The sequence below is a fragment of the Homo sapiens genome, chromosome 16, assembly GCF_000001405.40.
Source record: "Homo sapiens chromosome 16, GRCh38.p14 Primary Assembly".
Lineage (NCBI taxonomy): Eukaryota > Metazoa > Chordata > Mammalia > Primates > Hominidae > Homo > Homo sapiens.
This window is the reverse complement of record NC_000016.10, coordinates 22,326,638-22,344,818: the sequence shown is the minus strand read 5'-3', so window position 1 is coordinate 22,344,818 and position 18,181 is coordinate 22,326,638. Positions and strand designations below refer to the sequence as shown.

The following is an 18,181-nucleotide window of genomic DNA, read 5'->3' as shown; positions in this document are numbered from 1 at the left end:
CTAACTTTTTGTATTTTTAATAGAGATGGGGTTTTGCCGTGTTGGCCAGGCTGGTCTCGAACTCCTGGCCTCAAGTGTTCTGCCTGCCTTGGCCTCCCAAAGTGCTAGGACTACAGGTGTGAGCCACCACACCTGGACACTTTTATGTATATGAATCTTTAACACGTCTCTTTTTGTGTTTGAGAGTTCTTTGATCCATCTGAAGTCTATCCACCAACGCTTGAAATGCCACCCATATTAGTACTAAATGTCTACATGAATTTTAACCTATTTCTTCTAGGATCTGATTTTCATGTACCTAATGCAGTTTTAAATTTTTATTTTTTATTGTCTTATTTTGTAGTTTTAAGTTGCTGTACTTGGATATTTATATTTTCATAACTGCTAAGGGGAAGTTAAACTCTCATTACTCTTTCAGGATTTTCCTGGTTTTTTTTTTTTTTTTTTGCATTTTTTTTCCCCATATGAGCTTTAAAATTAGCTTGTCTGGTTCTTGAGGGGAAATTGGTACTTTTATCAAGATCAAGTTAAATAAATAGATTAATAAGAACAGGCTTAATCATACGGAGGCTTCTATCCAAAAACATGGCTATATGTCTTTTTTTTGAGATGGGGTCTCACTCTGTCACCCAGGCTGAAGTGCAGTGGTGCATTCTTGGCTCACTGAAACCTCTGCCTCCCGAGTAGCTGGGATTACAGGCTCCCACCACCATGCCCAGCTAATTTTTGTATTTTTAGTAGAGACGGGGTTTCACCATGTTGGCCAGGCTGGTCATGAACGGTTATGTGTTTTTCCATTTGTTCCAATGGTCTTTGTATGTCTCAGTTTTCAAATTTTTACCATTTATGTCTCGCATATTTTTAAAGGTTTGTCTCTTGGATGTTTTAAGTGGGATTCTTCTCCTGCTATACTTTGTAACTAGTTGTGTATAGAAAAGCTATTGATTTCAGCTATCTTGTTGAATTATCATGGGGGAATATCTTTTATTTGACTCTTTTGATATACCTGGAAAAATATTGTTTGGCTACTTAATTTTTACACTTATTCTTGTTTAAATGCTCTGAAATATCCAGAATATTAAATATGGTGGGAGTAAAATTGCTTGTCTGAATCCTAAACAATATGTCCATTGTTTGATTTAGCATAATGTTGGATTTTTTTTAATTAATCAGGAATCCATCTATTCCTGTTTTAAGAATTTATATCAAAAATGAGACAGGCACAGTGGTGTGCACCTATAGTCCCAGCTATTTGGCAGGCTGAGGCAAGAGGATCACTAGAGCCCAGGAGTTCAAGGCTATGATGCACTATTATCGCACCTGTGAATAGCCACTGTACTCCAGCCTGGGCAATATAGTGGGATCCTGTCTCTAAAAAAAGAAAAAGAACTATACATATTTTTGTTGTTTCATCAAATAAAACTTGTTTATTTTCATTTTTCTCTTTCCTTTGTTATATACATGTCTGTATCCTCTTATGTTCTTTTTATTGTATATATTTAATATGTTCAATGTTTTGATATACTTGATATATACAGTGATTACTAAGATCAAGCAAATTAACATACCCATCATAACATACCCGTGTATGTGATAAGAGTACCTAAAATCAACTCTCTTGGCAAGTTACCAGTATATGATACAATTTTATTAACTAGAAGCCCTCATGTTGTCTATTAGATCTCTTAGGCTTGTCCATCCCACATAACTGCAACGTTGACTTGCCTCTTCCCATTTCCCCCACCCCTGGTAACCACTATTTTACTGTTTTTGTTGTTGTTGATGATGTTTGTTTTTAAGATTCTACATATAAGTGGGATCATGCAGTATTTTTCTTCCTGTGTTTAGCTTATTTCATTTAACATGATGTCTTCCTCCAGCTTCATCCCTGTTGTTGCAAATGGCAGGACCTCCCTTTTTAATGCTGAAGTTCCATGGTATGTATGTATATTATTATAGCATAATTTCTTTATCCATTCATCTGTTGATGGACACCTTGGTTGTTTCCATATGTTGGCTCCTGTGAATAATGCTGCAATGAACATGGGGACAGAGTTGTCTTTACAAGGTGGTGATTTCATTTCCTTTAGGCATGTGCCCAGAAGAGGGATTGCTGTATCATATGGTAGTTCTATCTTTAAGAGCATCCATACTGTTTTCCACAGTGCAGCACCAATCTGCATTCTGATCAACAGTGTACAAATGTTCAGTTTTCTCTACAACTTCACCACTTGCTATTTCTTGTCTTTTTGATAAAAGCTATCCTAACGTGAGATATCTCATTGTGGTTTTTATTTGCATTTTCTTGATTAGTGATGTTGAGCAGCTATATCCCTGCTGGCCATTTTTATGTCTTTGAAGAAATGTCTATTCAGATGCTTTGCCCATTTTAAAATCAGGTTATTCATTTGAATGCTATTGAGTTCCCTATATATTTTGGTTAGTAACCCCTTATTAGATATATAGTTTGCAAGTATTTTCTCCCAGTGCGTAGGCTGCCTTTTCATGTTGTTTCCTTTGCTGTACAGAAGCTTTTGTTTGAGGTAGTCCTGTTGTGTTTTTGCTTTGGTTGTCTGTGCTTTTGGTGTCCCAGTCAAAACATCATTGCCAAGGTTAATGTCAAAGACCTTTTCCTCTATTTTTTTTTCTTAAGGTTTTATGGTTTCAGTTCTTAAAATAGGTTTTTTTGTTAGTTTGTTTTTGTTTTTGAGATGGTGTCTCGCTCTGTCCTCCAGGCTGGAGTTGTGGTGCGATCTTGGCTCACTGTAACCTCCATCTCTTAGGTTCTAGTGATTCTCCTGCCTTAGCCTCCAGAGTAGCTGGGATTATAGGCATGCTCCACCACGCCTTGCTAATTTTTTGTATTTTTGGTAGAGTCGGGGTTCTGCCATGTTGGCCAGGCTGGTCTCAAACTCCTGACCTAAAGTGATCCGCTTGCCTCAGCCTCCCAAAGTGCTGGGATTACAGGTGTGAGCCACTGTGCCCAGCCTAAAAATAGGTTTTTAATCCATTTTGAGTTGATTTTTGTGTAAGGTGTAAGATAAGAGTTCAACTTCATTCTTTTGCATGTAGATACACACATTTTCTATGTATAAAATCATGTCATCTGCAAGCAGGAACAATTTGACTTCTTTCTTTCTGATTTGGATGCCTTTTTTTTTTTTTTTTTCTCCAGAGTCTCACTCTGTCTCCCAGGCTGGAGTGCAGTGGCGCAATCTCAGCGCACTGCAACCTCTGCCTTCTGGGTTCAAGCAATTCTCCTGCGTCAGCCTCCCAAGTAACTGGGATTACAGGCTTATCACCACCACACCTGGCCAATTTTTGTATTTTTAGTAGAGTGGGGGTTTCACCATGTTTGCCAGGCTGGTCTCGAACCCCTGACCTCAGGTGATCCGCCTGCCTCGGCCTCCCAAAGTGCTGGGATGACAGGCGTGAGCCACCAGCCTTTTATTTTTCCTGTGCAATTGCTATAGTTAGGACTTCCAGTGTTTTGTTGAATGGAAGAGGTAAGAGTGGGCATTCCTTCTATACTTAGTTTGTTGATTTTTTAATCATGAATGGTTGTTAATTTTCAGATGCTTTTTCTGCATCTATTGAGAAGATTATATGGTTTTTGTCCTTCATTCTGTTAATGTGGTGTATCACAATTATTGATTTGCATATGTTGAACCATTGAACCATCCTTGCATCCCAGGGATAAATCCAACTTTGTTTTGGAGACAGGGTCTCACTCTGTCACTCAGGCTGGAGTGCAGTGGTGGTCATAGCTCACTGCAGTCTCAAACTCCTGGGCTCAAGCAGTCCTCCTGCCTCAGCTTTCCAAGCAGCTGGGACAATAGGCACACAGCACCACACCTGGCTAATTAAAAAAAAAAAATTTTTTTTTTTTTTTTTTTTTGCAGAGATGGGGTTTTGCTATATTGCCCAGACTGGGATAAATCCCACTTGATCCTGGTGAATGAGCCTTTTAATGTGCTGAATTTGGTTTGCTAGTTCTGGTGAGGTTTTTGCAGCTGTGTTCATCAAGGATATAAGGATATTGGTCTAATTTGCTTTTATTTTCTTTCTTTCTTTCTTTCTTTATATTTTTAGGTGGAGTCTCGCTCTGTCGCCCAGGCTGGAGTGCAGTGGCGCGATCTTGGCTCACTGCAACCTCCGCCACCCAGGTTCTAGCGATTCTCCGGCCTCAGCTTCCTGAGTAGCTGGTATTACAGGCATGCGCCACCACTCTCGGTTAATTTTTAGTAGAGACGGGGTTTCACCATTTTGGCCAGGATGTTCTCAAACTCCTGACCTCAGGTGATCTGCCCATCTTGGCCTCGCAGTGTTGGGATTACAGGCATGAGCCACTGTGCTCGGCCTAATTTTCTTTTCTTATAGTGTCCTTGTCTGGATTTGATATCAGGGTAGTGCTGGCCTTGTAAAATTAGTTTGAAAGTATTCCTCTTCATCAAATTTTTGGAAGTTTCAGAAAGATAGGTAGTAGTTTTCCATAAATGTTTAGTTGAATTCGGCAATGATGCCACCAGGTCCTGGGCTTTTCTTTGATGGCAGACTTTTTAAAATTATTGATTCAACCTTCTTACTCATTGGTCAGATTTTCGGTGTCTTTGTGATTCAGTCTTGGTAGGCTGTATGTGTCTAGGAACTCATCCATTTCTTGTAGGTTATCCAGTTTGCTGGTAATTTTTTATGGTAGTCTCTTAGGATCCTTTGTATTTCTTTTCTTTTCTCTTTTTTTTTTTTTTTTTTTTTTTTTTGAGACAGAGAGTCTTGCTCTGTCTCCCAGGTTGGAGTGTGTAGTGGCGTGATCTTGGCTCACTGCAACTTCCATCTCACGGGTTCCAGCAATTCTCCCACCTAAGCCTCCCAAGTAGCTGAGATTACAGGCATGTACCACCACACCCAGCTAATTTTTTTTTTTCGAGATGGAGTTTTGCTCATGTTGCCTAGGCTAGAGTGCAATGGCATGGTCTTGGCTCACTGCAACTTCTGCCTCCCGGGTTCAAGTGATTCTCCTGCCTCAGCCTCCCAAGTAGCTGGGATTACAGGAACCTGCTAGCATGCCTGGCTAATTTTTTGTATTTTTAGTAGAGACAGGGTTTCACCACTTTGACCAGGGTGGTCTCAAACTCCTGACCTCAAGTGATCCGCCCACCTTGGCCTCCCAAAGTGCTGGGATTACAGGCATGAGCCACCGTGCCTGGCCTGATCCTTTGTATTTCTATGGAATCAGTTGTAATGTCTTCCCTTCTCCCTCTCCCTTCTTTCCTTTCTTTCTTTCTTTCTTACAAGGTCTCACTCTTATCGCCCAAGCTGGAGTGCAGTGGTGGGATCTCAGCTCACTACAACATTCCCTTCCCAGGCTCAAGTGATTCTCCTACCTCAGCCTCCCAAGTAGCTGGGATTACAGGTGCCTGCCACCATGCCCAGCAAATTTTTGTATTTTTTAGTAGAGATGGGGTTCACCATATTGACCAGGCTGATCTCAAACTCCTGACCTCAGGTGATCCACCTGCCTTGGCCTCCCAAAGTGCTGGGATTATCTTTTTCCATTTCTAATTCTATGAGAGTCTTCTCTATTTTTTCTTAGCTAGAAGTTTGTCAATTTTATCTTTTCAAGAAACCAACTGAATTTTGTTGATCTTTTCATTTTTTTCAGCTCTGGTCTTTACTATTTCCTTTCTTTTATTTATTTTTGAGACGTAGTCTTGCTCTGGTCTTTATTATTTCCATTTATGTATATATGTATGTATTTTTGAGATGGAGTCTTGCTCTGTTACCCAGGCTGGAGTGCAGTAGCGTAATCTCATCTCACTGCAACCTCCGTCTCCCAGGTTCAAGCGATTCTTCTGCCTCAGCCTCCCGAGTAGCTGGGACTATAGGAGCGTGTCACCATACATGGCTAATTTTTTTGCATTTTTAGTAGAGATGGGGTTTTTCCATGTTGGTCAGGCTAGTCTCAAACCCCTGACCTCAGGTGATCTGCCCACCTTGGCCTCCCAAAGTGCTGGGATTACAGGTGTGAGCCACCTCACCTGGCCTATTTCCTTTTATTAACTGGGCCTAGTTCTTTTTATTTTCCTGGTGCCTTGAGGTGTAACATTGGGTTGTTTATCTGAAGTCTTTTCTTTCTGATGTGGGTGGGGATTGCTATAAACTTCTGTCTCAGAGCTGCTTTTGTTGTATTTCATGTTTTGTGTCCATTTTTGTCTCAAGATATTTTTAAAATTTTTCCTTTTAGTTTTTTTCATTGGCCTATTTGTTGTTCAGGAGCATGTTTAATTTCCACGTATTTGTAAATTTTCTGAAATTCCTCCTGTTACTGATTTCTAGTTTCATACCATTGTGGTCAGAAAAGATACCGCCCTAATATATGATCTGTCCTGGAGAATATTCCATGTATGCTCGAGAAGAATGTGTATTCTGCTGTTGGATGGAATCTCCTGTATATGGTAGGTCCATTTTGTTTAATGTGTAAAATCTGATGCTTTCTTATTGATTTTTTTTTTTTTTTTTGGCCTTGATCTGTCCATTACTGAAAGTGGGATATTGAAATCCCCTACTATTATTGTATTACAGTCTGTCTCTCCATTCAGAGCTATTCATATTTGCTTTCTATATTTAGGTGCTCAGATATTGAGTGAATATTTACAGTTGTTAAGTGACCCCTTTATCATTATACTGTGACCTTGTCTCATTTTACAGTTTTGACTTAAAGTTTGTTTTATCTAATGTAAGTATAGCTCTCTTGTTCTCTTTTGGTTTCTATTTGCATGAAATGCCATTTTCCATTCCTTCACTTTCAGTCTCTATGTGTCCCTTACAGGTTAAATGAGACACTTTTTGGCAGCATATAGTTAGATCTTTTTTTTTTTTTTAATCCAGCCACTCCGTTTTTGGATTATGGAAGAGTTAAACCATTTACATTCACAGTAAATGGATTGGAGAATTTAATCCATTTACATTCACAGTAGTAACTCCTTACCTATCCCTGTTGGTAGGTAAGGAGTTACTACTGCAATTTTGTTGTTTTCTGGTTGTTTTGTAGATCCTTTGTTTCTCTCTTACTGTCTTCCTTTGTGATTTATTTTCTTTAGAGGTATGCTTTGATTCCTTTTTATCTTTTGCATATCTGCTATAGGTTTTTGCTTTGTGGTTATCATGAAGCTTATGTAAAACACAGTGATAGCAGACTATTTTAAGCAGATAACTTTGATTGCATTAAAAACTATACTTTATTCTCTCTCCCACATTTTGTTTTTGAGGTCACAATTTACAAGTTTTATATTTTGTATCCCTTAACAAATTAGCTATTAATAGTTTTATCTTTTAACCTTTATACTAAAGATAAGCAATATATATACCACCATTACAGTATTAGAGTATTCTTGAGTTTGACATTATGCTTTTACCAGGTTTATACTTTCATATGTTTTCATGTTACTAATTAACATCCTTTTCTACCAGCTTGAACTCCCTTTCACATTTTTTTGTAAACACAGAGCTGGTGATGATGAAATGCTTCAGCTTTTGTCTGTCTGGGAATGTCTTTTTCTCCATTTCTGAAGTTTTGCTGGATAAAGTATTCATGGTTGGCAATTTGTTCTCCTTTAGCACTCTGAATATATCATCCTACTCTCTCCTGGCCTGTAAGGTTTCTGCTGAGAAGTGCTAGCCTTATTGGAACTCCCTTATATGTGATCTGCTTCTTTTCTCTAGCTGCTTTTAGGATCTTCCCCTTTGTCTTTTGATTTTTGACAATTTCATTATAATGTGTCGTGGTATAGTTTTGTTCATACTGAATCTGATTGGAGACTTTTGATACTCTTATACCTGGATATTTATATCTTTCTCCAGATCTGGAAGGTTTTCTGCTACTATTTTGTGATTTATTTCTTTCTTCTCCTTACTGAACTTCTATAACTCAAATATTTGCTCTTTTGATGCTGTCCTATAAATCCCTTAAGCTTTCTTCATTCCTTTTCATTCTTTTTGTTCTTCTGGCTATATTTTCAAATAATCTGTCTTTGAGTTCATAGATTCTCTGCTTGATCAATTCTGTTGATGCTCACTATTCCATTTTTCATTTCATTCATATTATTTTTCAGCTTCAGAATGGTTTGTAAAAAATATATAACTTCAATCTATTAGGTTTCTTGATTTGGTTTTCTTTATTTTGTTGAGTTATATCTGTGTATTTTCTTGAAGTTTGCTGAACTTCCTTAAAACTATTTTGAGTTGTCAGGCAGTTCATAAATCTCCATTTCTTTAGGGTAGATTTCTGGTGCTTTATTTTGTTACTTTGGTGATAGCATGTCTCCCTGATTGTTCTTGATCCTTGTGGTCATATGTTGATGTCTGTACATTGGATGAAGTGGTAAGGACTGATTCTAATCTTTGCAGTCTGACTTTGCCTGGAACAGCCGTTTACCAGTGAGCCCATTCAGAGATTCTGGGCAAGTTGTCTGGTGTGGTCTTCTGTGGGCAGGCTTGTTGCTGGAGTCCTTGAGCAGGCTGACCTAGTACCTAGGTCAGCAGATGGATGAGCCTGGTGCTTGCATGCATAGGATTAATCCTGGAACGTAGGTCCAGTGGAGTGGGCCAGTTGATTGGGTCTGCAGGGGTACAACCAGAGCCTGAGTCCACAAGGGCAGGCCTGGAGCCTGCATCCAGGGAGCTGACCTGAAGCCTAAAAACCTGCAGGGGTGGGCCTAGGTTCTGGGTCCATAGGGACTGTTCTGGAGCCTCAGTCCGCCAGGGCATGCCTGGCATTGAGGCTTACTGAGGTATGTGCCTGGAACCTGGGTCCACTGGAGCCTGGTGCTGAGGCACACATGGACCTTGGGTCCAGGGGTATTGTACTGGAGCCTGGGATTGTGGGTGCTGGCATGGGGGCATATAGATCAGCCTGGAGCCAGGGGTATATAGATACTGGCCTGGAGATTAGTCTCTGAGGGCTCGCTTGGATCCTGGGGCCATGGGGGCTGGCCTAGAACCTGGGGCTGCAGGGGATATTGGAGCCTAGTCTGTGAGGGCCAGCCCAGTGCTGGGGTTTACTCAGATGGGGCTGGACCAGGGTGGGGAGGGGGTGCCTGCTAGAGTGTGAGCTCATGGGTGCAGGCCTGGCAGTGGGTATGCTTAGAGCCTGTGTTCCTGGCGCAGGCCTGGAGTCTGGGGCTGGCATGATTTTGGGGTCCAATGTTCTCCTTCCTCCAAGTAGAGGGTCTCTCTCTCTCTCTCTCTCTCTCTCTCTCCACCCTGTGCTGCCTGGGGCTGGGGAGGGGGTAAGCTAGGTAATGTAAAATTGTCCCTCCTATCCTCTTTAGTACATCTTATTTCTGTGGTACACCAAGGTGCTGTAATCTCTAGAGGTTCCTTAACTCTTGTGAAGGTATTTTTGTGTGTGGACAGTTGTTTAAATTCATGTTTCTGCAGGGGGATGAGTGCTGGAAAGTCCTATTCTGACATCCCAAGTTCCCTCAATTTTTTTTAAAACAATAGTTCCCTCCTATATTCCTTGTTTCTTTTTCTTGCTATTTGAGTTTGGTGTTTTAACCAGTTCTTTTTATCAATGTAAAGTATTTAAGGCTCTGACTTCTCCACTGAGCCAATTAAGTTCTGCAAGGTGATGGGACTAACATTCTGTGCCGTCCCACATGAGCATTTCCCCTTTCAAAGTGAGAAGGAAGTAGGATGGAAAAGCTGAGACATATTCCAAATCGCTTTTGGTAACTTTACTTTTCAGGTTCACATATGTTAACAGAATCAATACACGATCAACTTGTTAAGTGATGTTACCAAATACTTATTTGGCAAAGTACATCCTTGATCAATGCCTTAGTGATTCTATAGCTAAAATATTAGATGTTTTATTTTGGGGGGAGTGGGGAAATAGCATAGACCGTCATTTAAACCTTCAGACAATTAGTGACTGTGTTGTACAAAAAAGATGGCGAAAGCCTTATCTAGATACCAAAATTCACATGTCATCCAACCTAGCTTACTCTTATTTTTTCCATCAGTTTCTAGGGCTGTGCTATCCAATACTGTCGCAAATAGCCCCATGTGGCATCGGAGCACTTATGATGTGGCTAGTCCAAACTGAGTGTTGAGGAAAGTGTAAAATGCCAGATTTTGAAGACTTTTACCTTATGTTGATGTTTTAGATATTTTGAGCTAAATAATATGCTAACATGACCTTTTTAAACTAATGTGGTTGCTAGAAACTTTCAAAATTATGTACGTGACTCGCCTCTTTCTAGTGGACAGTGCTGCTCTGTCTTCCTCCATTAGCTCCGTTCCCTCTAGATACACGTAACGCTGAGCCCAACAAGATCGCCTTCCTGTAACCATTTGAAGATAGCACCATGATGCTAGTTTAGTGTTTGCATTTATTTTAAAAATACACAAAATAGAAATTTTTACATCAAAGTGTGATAACCTCACTTACACATTGTTCCATACTTACCTGGTTTTGTTTGCATCTTTCTGCAAACATTAAAAGGAGATGGATTTGATTCTGATTTTTTTGCTATGGTTCATGTAAACAGTTGAGACTGCTACATAAAGTAGGTTGTTGTCAAAGGTGAAGTGGCCACAGAATCCCAAGAATAGAATAATTCAATTTGGTTTAATGAAATTGGTGGAGGTCTTAGCAGATAGATAATCCAAGACTAAATATTGTCTTCTAGGCATTTTAAAAATTAAGAACTTTGAGGTTTTCTTCATGTTGTAAACATAACTTAGACCTTGTTGGCATTAAGTTTACAAAAGAAAATATTAAACCATGATTTTTATCATCCTGCCCATGTCAGTATACACTCTCTTTATTATGAGAATGAAACCAAATAATAAGCAAAATACATCAGGAATTTCAAATTGTACTGCAAAGAAGGTCCCAGCTGGTCTCTTCTGGGAGTGATCTAACTAACTTAAGCTGACCCTGCGACTGGCTGAGGATAATCCCTTCTGTCCACTGCACCGTGCAATGCCACAGGTCATGAGATGGTCAGTTCCTCTTGCTCTGTGTCGTCTGAAGCAAGTCGAGGCCCTACTTCTGGTTCCGCCCTTCTTCCTTGGGCTTAGATTTGCTGGGTTAGTAGTTTGCTACTATTGTCAAGACTGTACTGTCCCTTTAAGGTACCACATGCCACCATAGCTTACACAGCAGTCCTATGAGAGAGAAACAGGGTAAGCACAGATTTTTGCAGGAAAAGGAGCTAATTACATTCTGTCCACAATGTCAACACTCGATTTATGATTAGTGAATAGAATACAAATGGGAAATCAAAAACTGCCTAACCATACCACCATGGCTACTACCAGCCACCCTTTCCTCAGGGGTAGTGTTTTTTTTTTTTTTTGAAACAGAGTTTTGCTCTTGTTACCCAGGCTGGAGTGCAACGGCATGATCTTGGCTCACTGCAGCCTCTGCCTCCCAGGTTCAAGCGATTCTCCTGCCTCAGCCTCCCAAGTAGCTGGGATTACAGGCATGTACCACTACGCCTGGCTAATTTTGTATTTTTAGTAGAGATGGGGTTTCTCCATGTTGGTCAGGCTGGTCTCAAACTCCTGACCTCAAGTGACCCACCCACCTCAGCCTCCCAAAGCGCTGGGATTACAGGTGTGAGCCACCGCGCCTGGCCATTCCTCAGGGGCATTTTAAAAGTGAGGGTGGGCCAGGCATGGTGGCTCACACCTGTAATCCCAGCTACTTAGGAGGCTGAGGCAGGAGAATTGCTTGAAACTGGGAGGTAGAGGTTGCGGTGAGCCGAGATTGTGCTACTGCACTCTAGCCTGGGCAACAAGAGCAAAACTCCATCTCAAAAAAAAAAAAAAAAAAAAAAAAGGGGGTCTACGAAATACAGATACTGACATGCCCAGAACAAGGGTGCTTAAAAAACAGTATTACTTATATGGCTCTGGATGTTTAATCAAAACAAGACATTGTCATCAGTTTTCTGTCTCTCAGTGTTGCTGCAAATATGGTTGGTATTTGTACTACAGTCACTTCAGAAAAGCATTATAGGTTGTACATTAGGTGCTTTCATATAGTAAACAGATCATATTCCTTTTTAAACTAAATTTAAGAATGGATTCTACTGAAAGTCATGTGTGTGGCTATGGCAACAATCAGAAGATAGTTCAAAATTCAAGGGAGAGTAGAGTGAGGATTCTCAACTAGGCCCTATCATTTTAGAAGACGCCTACCCACTGCCAAGCTCATCCAACCTACCATATTTTTTTGTTGTTCTATTGTTTTAGGCTCTTAGCAGCCTGAAGCCATGGTTTTTAGTTTCTGTCTCTAGTGACAAGCAGAGAAGAGGGATGAAAGGGGCATTACTGGCCTGGCCCAACCAGAAAGAGAAACAAAGCATCCATGGCTGTATTCTTTCCCTTGGACACCACTGTGACTATATTGTTTGAAGGGGTCAGTCCTCTGGCACATACCCCCTTCCCCAACCAATGCCAATCAATCAATCATTAACAGTTGCTCAAGACAAGACTGACTGGGGAGTGGTCCCAAGGAAGCCTGATTTCATATACACAAAGACACTAGAGTCCCTTCTACACACTGTCAGCCCCTTCCAGAGCCTTTGATATTGTTTGTTATGCACAAAATGGATGTACCTTTAGTACTTTATCCACCTCCTGTTTACTGAGATCTTCTCCACACTCTTGAGTCAACCGAGACTGGATCATGTTTCGGCGTACCCGGTAATTTTTGGAAAAAATTTCAAGCAAAACCTGTCGATGCTTTAGTAGCAAAAACACGTTATGATGGGAAACAGTGATCTAAAAAGAGAAACATCCCCAAACAAGACACCCAAGCCATGCACCTGACTTTGTGTTGCAGTCTCTGATAAAAACCCTCACGCAGCACCTCTGGTTAAAGATGAGCCAAGTCATCTCTAGAGACCCAGCAAGACAGTGTACAGAAATAAAAACACAAAAGTAAAGGCATTAATGCTATGTCTGGAAACTTGAATATAAATAAAAACAAAGGTATATGCCAGCATAACAAAAGAACTGGTGAAGAGACATGAGAGGATGAGTGGCTTGAACATATTTCTGCATGGTAAAATGCAGGCGTGCATCGGACTTAGCAAGCAGGTGAAGCGACAATCTAAGCTGCACGGAGATGAGAAGAGGGTGTCAAAATTGGTGTGAAGTCTTAATGCACAAACATGCCACTGCATCCATGAAACAGGATGCCGTAAAATACGTTACACCCCAAAATAAAAATGGAAAAGATTGGATTCAGTATGTCTAATATCTGTCATAAGAATTCTGAAAAAAACAAAAAAAAGTAACAACTCACAGGATTTTATAAGAACTCAATTGTCTAGTACAATAATGACCCGCACCAGGGCACAGCTGAAATGGCACTGACTGATATACAGAATAATGAAAAATTCTGCAGTTTGGCATAAAGGAAAGAATACAGGCCAAATTTAAAAGACCAAGAAGGAGAATGTTATGGAATTTCAACAACTCTGAAAACTTAAACAATGGAAACTCTCTTAAAGATGCTTCATGCCGGGCGCAGAGGCTCACGCCTGCAATCCCAGCACTTGGGGAGACCGAGGCAGGCGGATTACCTGAGGTCAGGAGTTCGAGACCAGCCTGTCCAACGTGGTGAAACTCCGTCTCTACTAAAAATACAAAAATCAGCCACGCGTGGTGGCACACGCCTATAATCCCAGCTACTCAGGAGGCTGAGGCGGAGGTTGCAGTGAGCCGAGATCGTGCCATTGCACTCCAGCCTGGCTGACAGAGGGAGACTCTGTCTCAAAAAAAAAAAAAAAAAAAAAAAAAAAAAAAAAAGGATGCTTCATGTATCACTATTTGTCTAGGACTAGAATTTTGAGAGGCAAATCATTTGATCACGTAAAAATAGAAACTTTGATAACCTCACACATTGTTCCATACTTAGCTGGTTTTGTTTGCATCTTTCTGCAAACATTAAGAGGAGATGGATTTGATTCTCCTTTTTTTTTGCTATGGTTCATGTAAACAGCTGACTGCTACATGAAGTATCCTTTGCCTCTTAAAATTCTAGTCCCAGACAAACAGTAATACTGTATTGTAATCCATTTTAAGACATGAAAGAATGCAGACAACTCCTCTGTCTCTTCAGAAGCTAAAGCAAGGAAGAAGCAGAGATTCCAGAATTCAGCAACAGACATGGGGAAGAGCGAGTCTCACTGGAGAAGCAGAGGGAGAGGCTTCCCGGGAACCAGGCTTAATTAAGCAAAGTATCACCCTCGGTACACATGTGTTCAGAAAATTACACAAGTGAAAACAGGAAGCAGTGAACAAGGAAATGCAATCATAGTATATTACTGATGTTTGGCTCTACAATGGATAGATTTTCAGTTCATTCTGTGACAATGCTATAAACAATGATAGCCAATTAAAAAGAGGTAAAGGCCTGGTGTGGTGGCTCACGCTTGTAATCCCAGCACTTTGGAAGGCCAAGGCAGGCAGATCATTTGAGGCCAGGAGTTCGAGACCAGCCTGGCCAACATGGTGGGACCACCCCCCGACCCCTACCACCGCGATCTCTACTAAAAATACAAAAATTAGCTGGGTGAGGCAGCACAAGCCCGTAATCCCAGCTACCCGGGTGGCTGAGGCACAAGAATCGCTTGAACGCAAGAGGCGTGAGCTGAGATGGCACCACTGCACTCCAGGCCTAGATGACAGAGCAAGAGCAAGAGCAAGACGCTATCTATCTCAAAAAAAAAAAAAAAACTGGCGTAACATATCTATCTCTACAGTCTCCTAAAATAGTTGAGAGCTAAATCTCATCCACCACAATGGGAAGCCCATTGCTAATGACAGGCTGATTTTTTTTTTTAAATGGGGGCAGCTATTTTAGTGGTATCTTTTGGTGATGTAAATGCCTATGATCCTAGCACTTTGGGAGGCTGAGGCAGGAGAACTGCTTGAGGCCAGGAGTTCAAGACTAGCCTGGCCAACATAGTGAGACCCTGTTTCTATTAAAAAAGTAGTAATAAAAGTGGTCACCTCTGAGGGGTGGCAGTCAGGTCCAGCAGTGCAAGAGCTTTCCTATTAAAACTTCTAGTCTGATTTGATGTTTAAAAATCTGCATTTATGACTTTTGTTTTTTTGCCTTTTTGTTATCAAAGTATTTCAGATACCCTCTATTCTGGACAAAAGCACTCAAGCTTGCTCAGGAAAAGGCCCCAGCCCCTTAGATCCTCAGCCTGCCAGTTGGCTCCCCTAAGAGGCAGCTGGGGACAGAGAGCTCAGTGGGATTTCTGCTGACTCCCTTCTCCCCACACCTTAGGAGCAGGGCCTAGACACGGTCAGACCGACTGGCGTTTCGACCATCAAATTAGGTACGTTCACGGCCTAAGAAAAGCTGGGATGCAGGGTCCATGACTACACCACACACACGCAAGGCGCTGCTGCTTCCACTCACATTTCTGGGCACTGGACACCTGTGACCCTCCCCATCACAGTATGACTAGAGGCAAAATGACCAATTTCTTTAACCTAAAAGTCCAGGACCTGACATCTGACAAGGAATCCTTTTGATTCCTGCTGCCAGAGGCCGCCTGAGAAATGTGCTTCACCAGTGCTCTATAAGCCTGGCTGGATCAGAGTTGCTCAGGAAGCTTTACAGAAATTCAGATACCTAGGACAGTACCGCATACCTACTGAACAGAACTGAATCTATGTTTTTTTTTTTTTTCTTTCTGAGACACAGTCTTGCTCTGTCGCCCAGTCTGGAGTGCAGTGGTGCAATCTCGGTTCACTGCAACCTCTCTCTCCCAGGTTCAAGCAATTCTGTCTCAGCCTCCCACGACTATGGGCATTTTTAGTAGAGATGGGGTTTCACCATATTGGTCAGGCTGGTGTCAAACTCCCAACCTCAGGTGATCCACCCACCTTGGCCTCCCAAAGTGCTGGGATTACAGGCGTGAGCCACTACGCCCAGCCTGTATTTTTTAAAAGATGATTCTGATGGAGCTGGCTCACAGACTGGCATCTGGGAACCACTGGTTTAGGTTCAAACTATTGGCACATACAGCTTATTTTGTTAGCGTACAGAGTTGGAGCAGGATATTTAAAACCGAGTGTGCCAGAAAATCTGAAATGTGTGGCTGCACTTTGGGTGCACATGTCCCCCAAGGCCTCCAACGCTGCAGGAAACCCCCCTGGCTCTTCGGGAAGATGGCAGCAAAGTTCACCTCACCTGATCACTCATGTCTCCAGACTCCCAGAGGGCAAACACCTTCTGCTCATCCGGGGAAGCAGCAGTCTGGGGGGGAAACTGACCAAGGCCCAGGGGTGAGTTGCTTGTCCATCTCTACCCCATGGATCCATTTGCTTGCCTCATCCCTCCCTGTCTGCCCCAGCCCAGATGCAGGAACATGGGTTCCAATCCCAGCTTCTGCTACTCACCATCTCTGAGGGCCTTGGGCAGCCACAAACCTGTGCCTCTCACCTCACCATGGGGAGGAGGCCAGCACACCCCCCAGGGCCTGACAGGGCTTCAGCGAGAGGGGGAGTGTGATGGGCCCAGTGAAATGCCCGGCTTCGAGTCTGCAGATATCCTCCGTACAGTGGGGAAGCTGCGTCTGTTTCCCATCAGCCTGGCACCAACTCAACTGTGCTTTAACACCCAGAGTCCTCCCTCCTGAAGATGCCAACCCTGATGGAGGGGCGCCCCCTTCCCCATAACTCTTGGGGTACCCTGGGGGTTCTTTTCAACTGCTTCCCACATGTACCATGTCAGTGTGGGTTAGAGGCACTGCCTGACTCCCAAGCAATCCAGGCCACTTGGTCCAAAGGTAGACCAGGACAAGTGTGACACAGGCCTGGGTCCTGGAGAGAAGGGGACAGGGGAGGGGGCATCTGGGATGGTAGTTTCCAGTCCTGGTTCCATCACACAAGTAGCAATAATGGTTACTACCAGTAAAAGCCCTGTGAGGCCTCCAATACACATTTGCATTTGAGCATTAGAAACTGGGGAGGTAGTACATGGGGAAAAGTAAGCTCAGAGAGGTTTGCTCACTGTCCATGGTCACACAGCTAATAAGCAGCAGAACCAGGAGTTCAAGTCAAGTTCTCGATCTATTCACTTGCCCTGGACCTCAGCTCCCTCATGTACAACACAGAGGTGGCTGGGATCGGAGGTCTCTTACGTCTTGGATGTGACTACAATACAGTCTCCTTGTCAGGATGGCAAGGAGAGCATTACAGTTAGGGCCATGGTGTCTCCTGGAGACGCTGGCCCCACCCCAAAGCAACATGGACAGAGGGGGTCCGGAAGGAGGGGTGAGGGTGTCTGAGGGTGGCCATGTCCCACCCCTCACCTCTGTCCACTCCAGCGGCCCAAAACAACTAATGTCAGGCAGGTGTCCTGCCTGTCCTGGCCCAGCTCATGAAGAAAGGTGAGCTTGTGGAGACCCAGACCCATGTGCTGGGTGGGCAGGAGCTCCGAACTCTGCCAGTACCTCCCACAGGGGGCTGCCTGCCAGCAGGGCCGATCCCCTGAGACAGCCTAGGCTCCACAAGGCCTCCTGTCCTAGTTTCTATTCCTCATACACAGGGATGGGCCTTGGCCTCAGATCATCACCCAAGGCTGCAGGCCCGCTCCTGACCTTGGCAATGAAAACATCAATGCTTTCTTAGAGACCACCACAGCCCCACCTCACCCCATTTTGCTGCCAGGTCTGGGCAGAGCCTTGTGGAAAAGGAGCACGGGAAAGGCGTGCCTCAGGCAGCACCTGGCGCTCTCTATCCTCAGCGCAGGGAAACGGTCCCCAGCAAGCACTCTGCTCCCCCGTCAGGGCCCCTCCCAGTGACAGAAAAGCAGCCCAGGGGGAAGGGGCAGGAGGCTTGCAATACCACACTCAAGGCCTGGCACTGGAAGTGCTGAGAGCACAGCGCTGAGCTGGTCAGCTTGCTTCTGATGCACAGGGAGGCCGCCAGGACCCAGGCCCAAGCTGGGGCGTGGCGCAGCTGTGGGGAAGCAGCTCATCTTAGCTGAGCAGAAAGGATTCAAAACTCCAGGCCACTATACTGAGGTCCAAATTCCAGCTCTACTACCTCCTAGGTAGTGACCTTTAAACGTACATTTCATTCCTTGGAGCCTCAGTTTCTTCATCTGCAGATTGCAAAGAAGATCAAACGATCTTAG

The 18,181-nt window shown here is 43.0% G+C and overlaps 1 protein-coding gene and 1 long non-coding RNA gene across 10 annotated transcripts in view; one reads left to right on the top strand and one right to left on the bottom strand.

Annotated features, from left to right (window-relative positions):
* Positions 1-63: 63 nt before the first annotated feature.
* On the top strand, positions 64-10,909 carry LOC124903664 (uncharacterized). The gene is made up of 2 exons (XR_007065026.1): positions 64-1,937; positions 6,337-10,909. It is a non-coding gene; the product is annotated as an uncharacterized LOC124903664 (long non-coding RNA).
* POLR3E (RNA polymerase III subunit E) overlaps positions 9,723-18,181 on the bottom strand; it is a 37,688-nt gene continuing 29,229 nt past the window's right edge. For 6 of the 9 annotated variants that reach the window (NR_047581.2, NM_018119.4, XM_011545892.3 and 3 more), the window contains 3 exons: positions 16,232-16,309; positions 12,634-12,759; positions 9,723-11,175 (listed from right to left, as the gene is read on the bottom strand). Coding sequence is in view for 8 of the 9 variants with exons in the window: in NM_018119.4 (NP_060589.1) it covers positions 11,119-11,175; positions 12,634-12,759; positions 16,232-16,309 (261 nt within the window). In the remaining variant the exon portion in view is untranslated. Of the gene's footprint in view, positions 11,176-12,633; positions 12,760-16,231; positions 18,149-18,181 lie in introns of those variants that run through there. The other 3 variants (NM_001258033.2, NM_001258036.2, XM_011545893.4) reach the window with 3 other exon arrangements.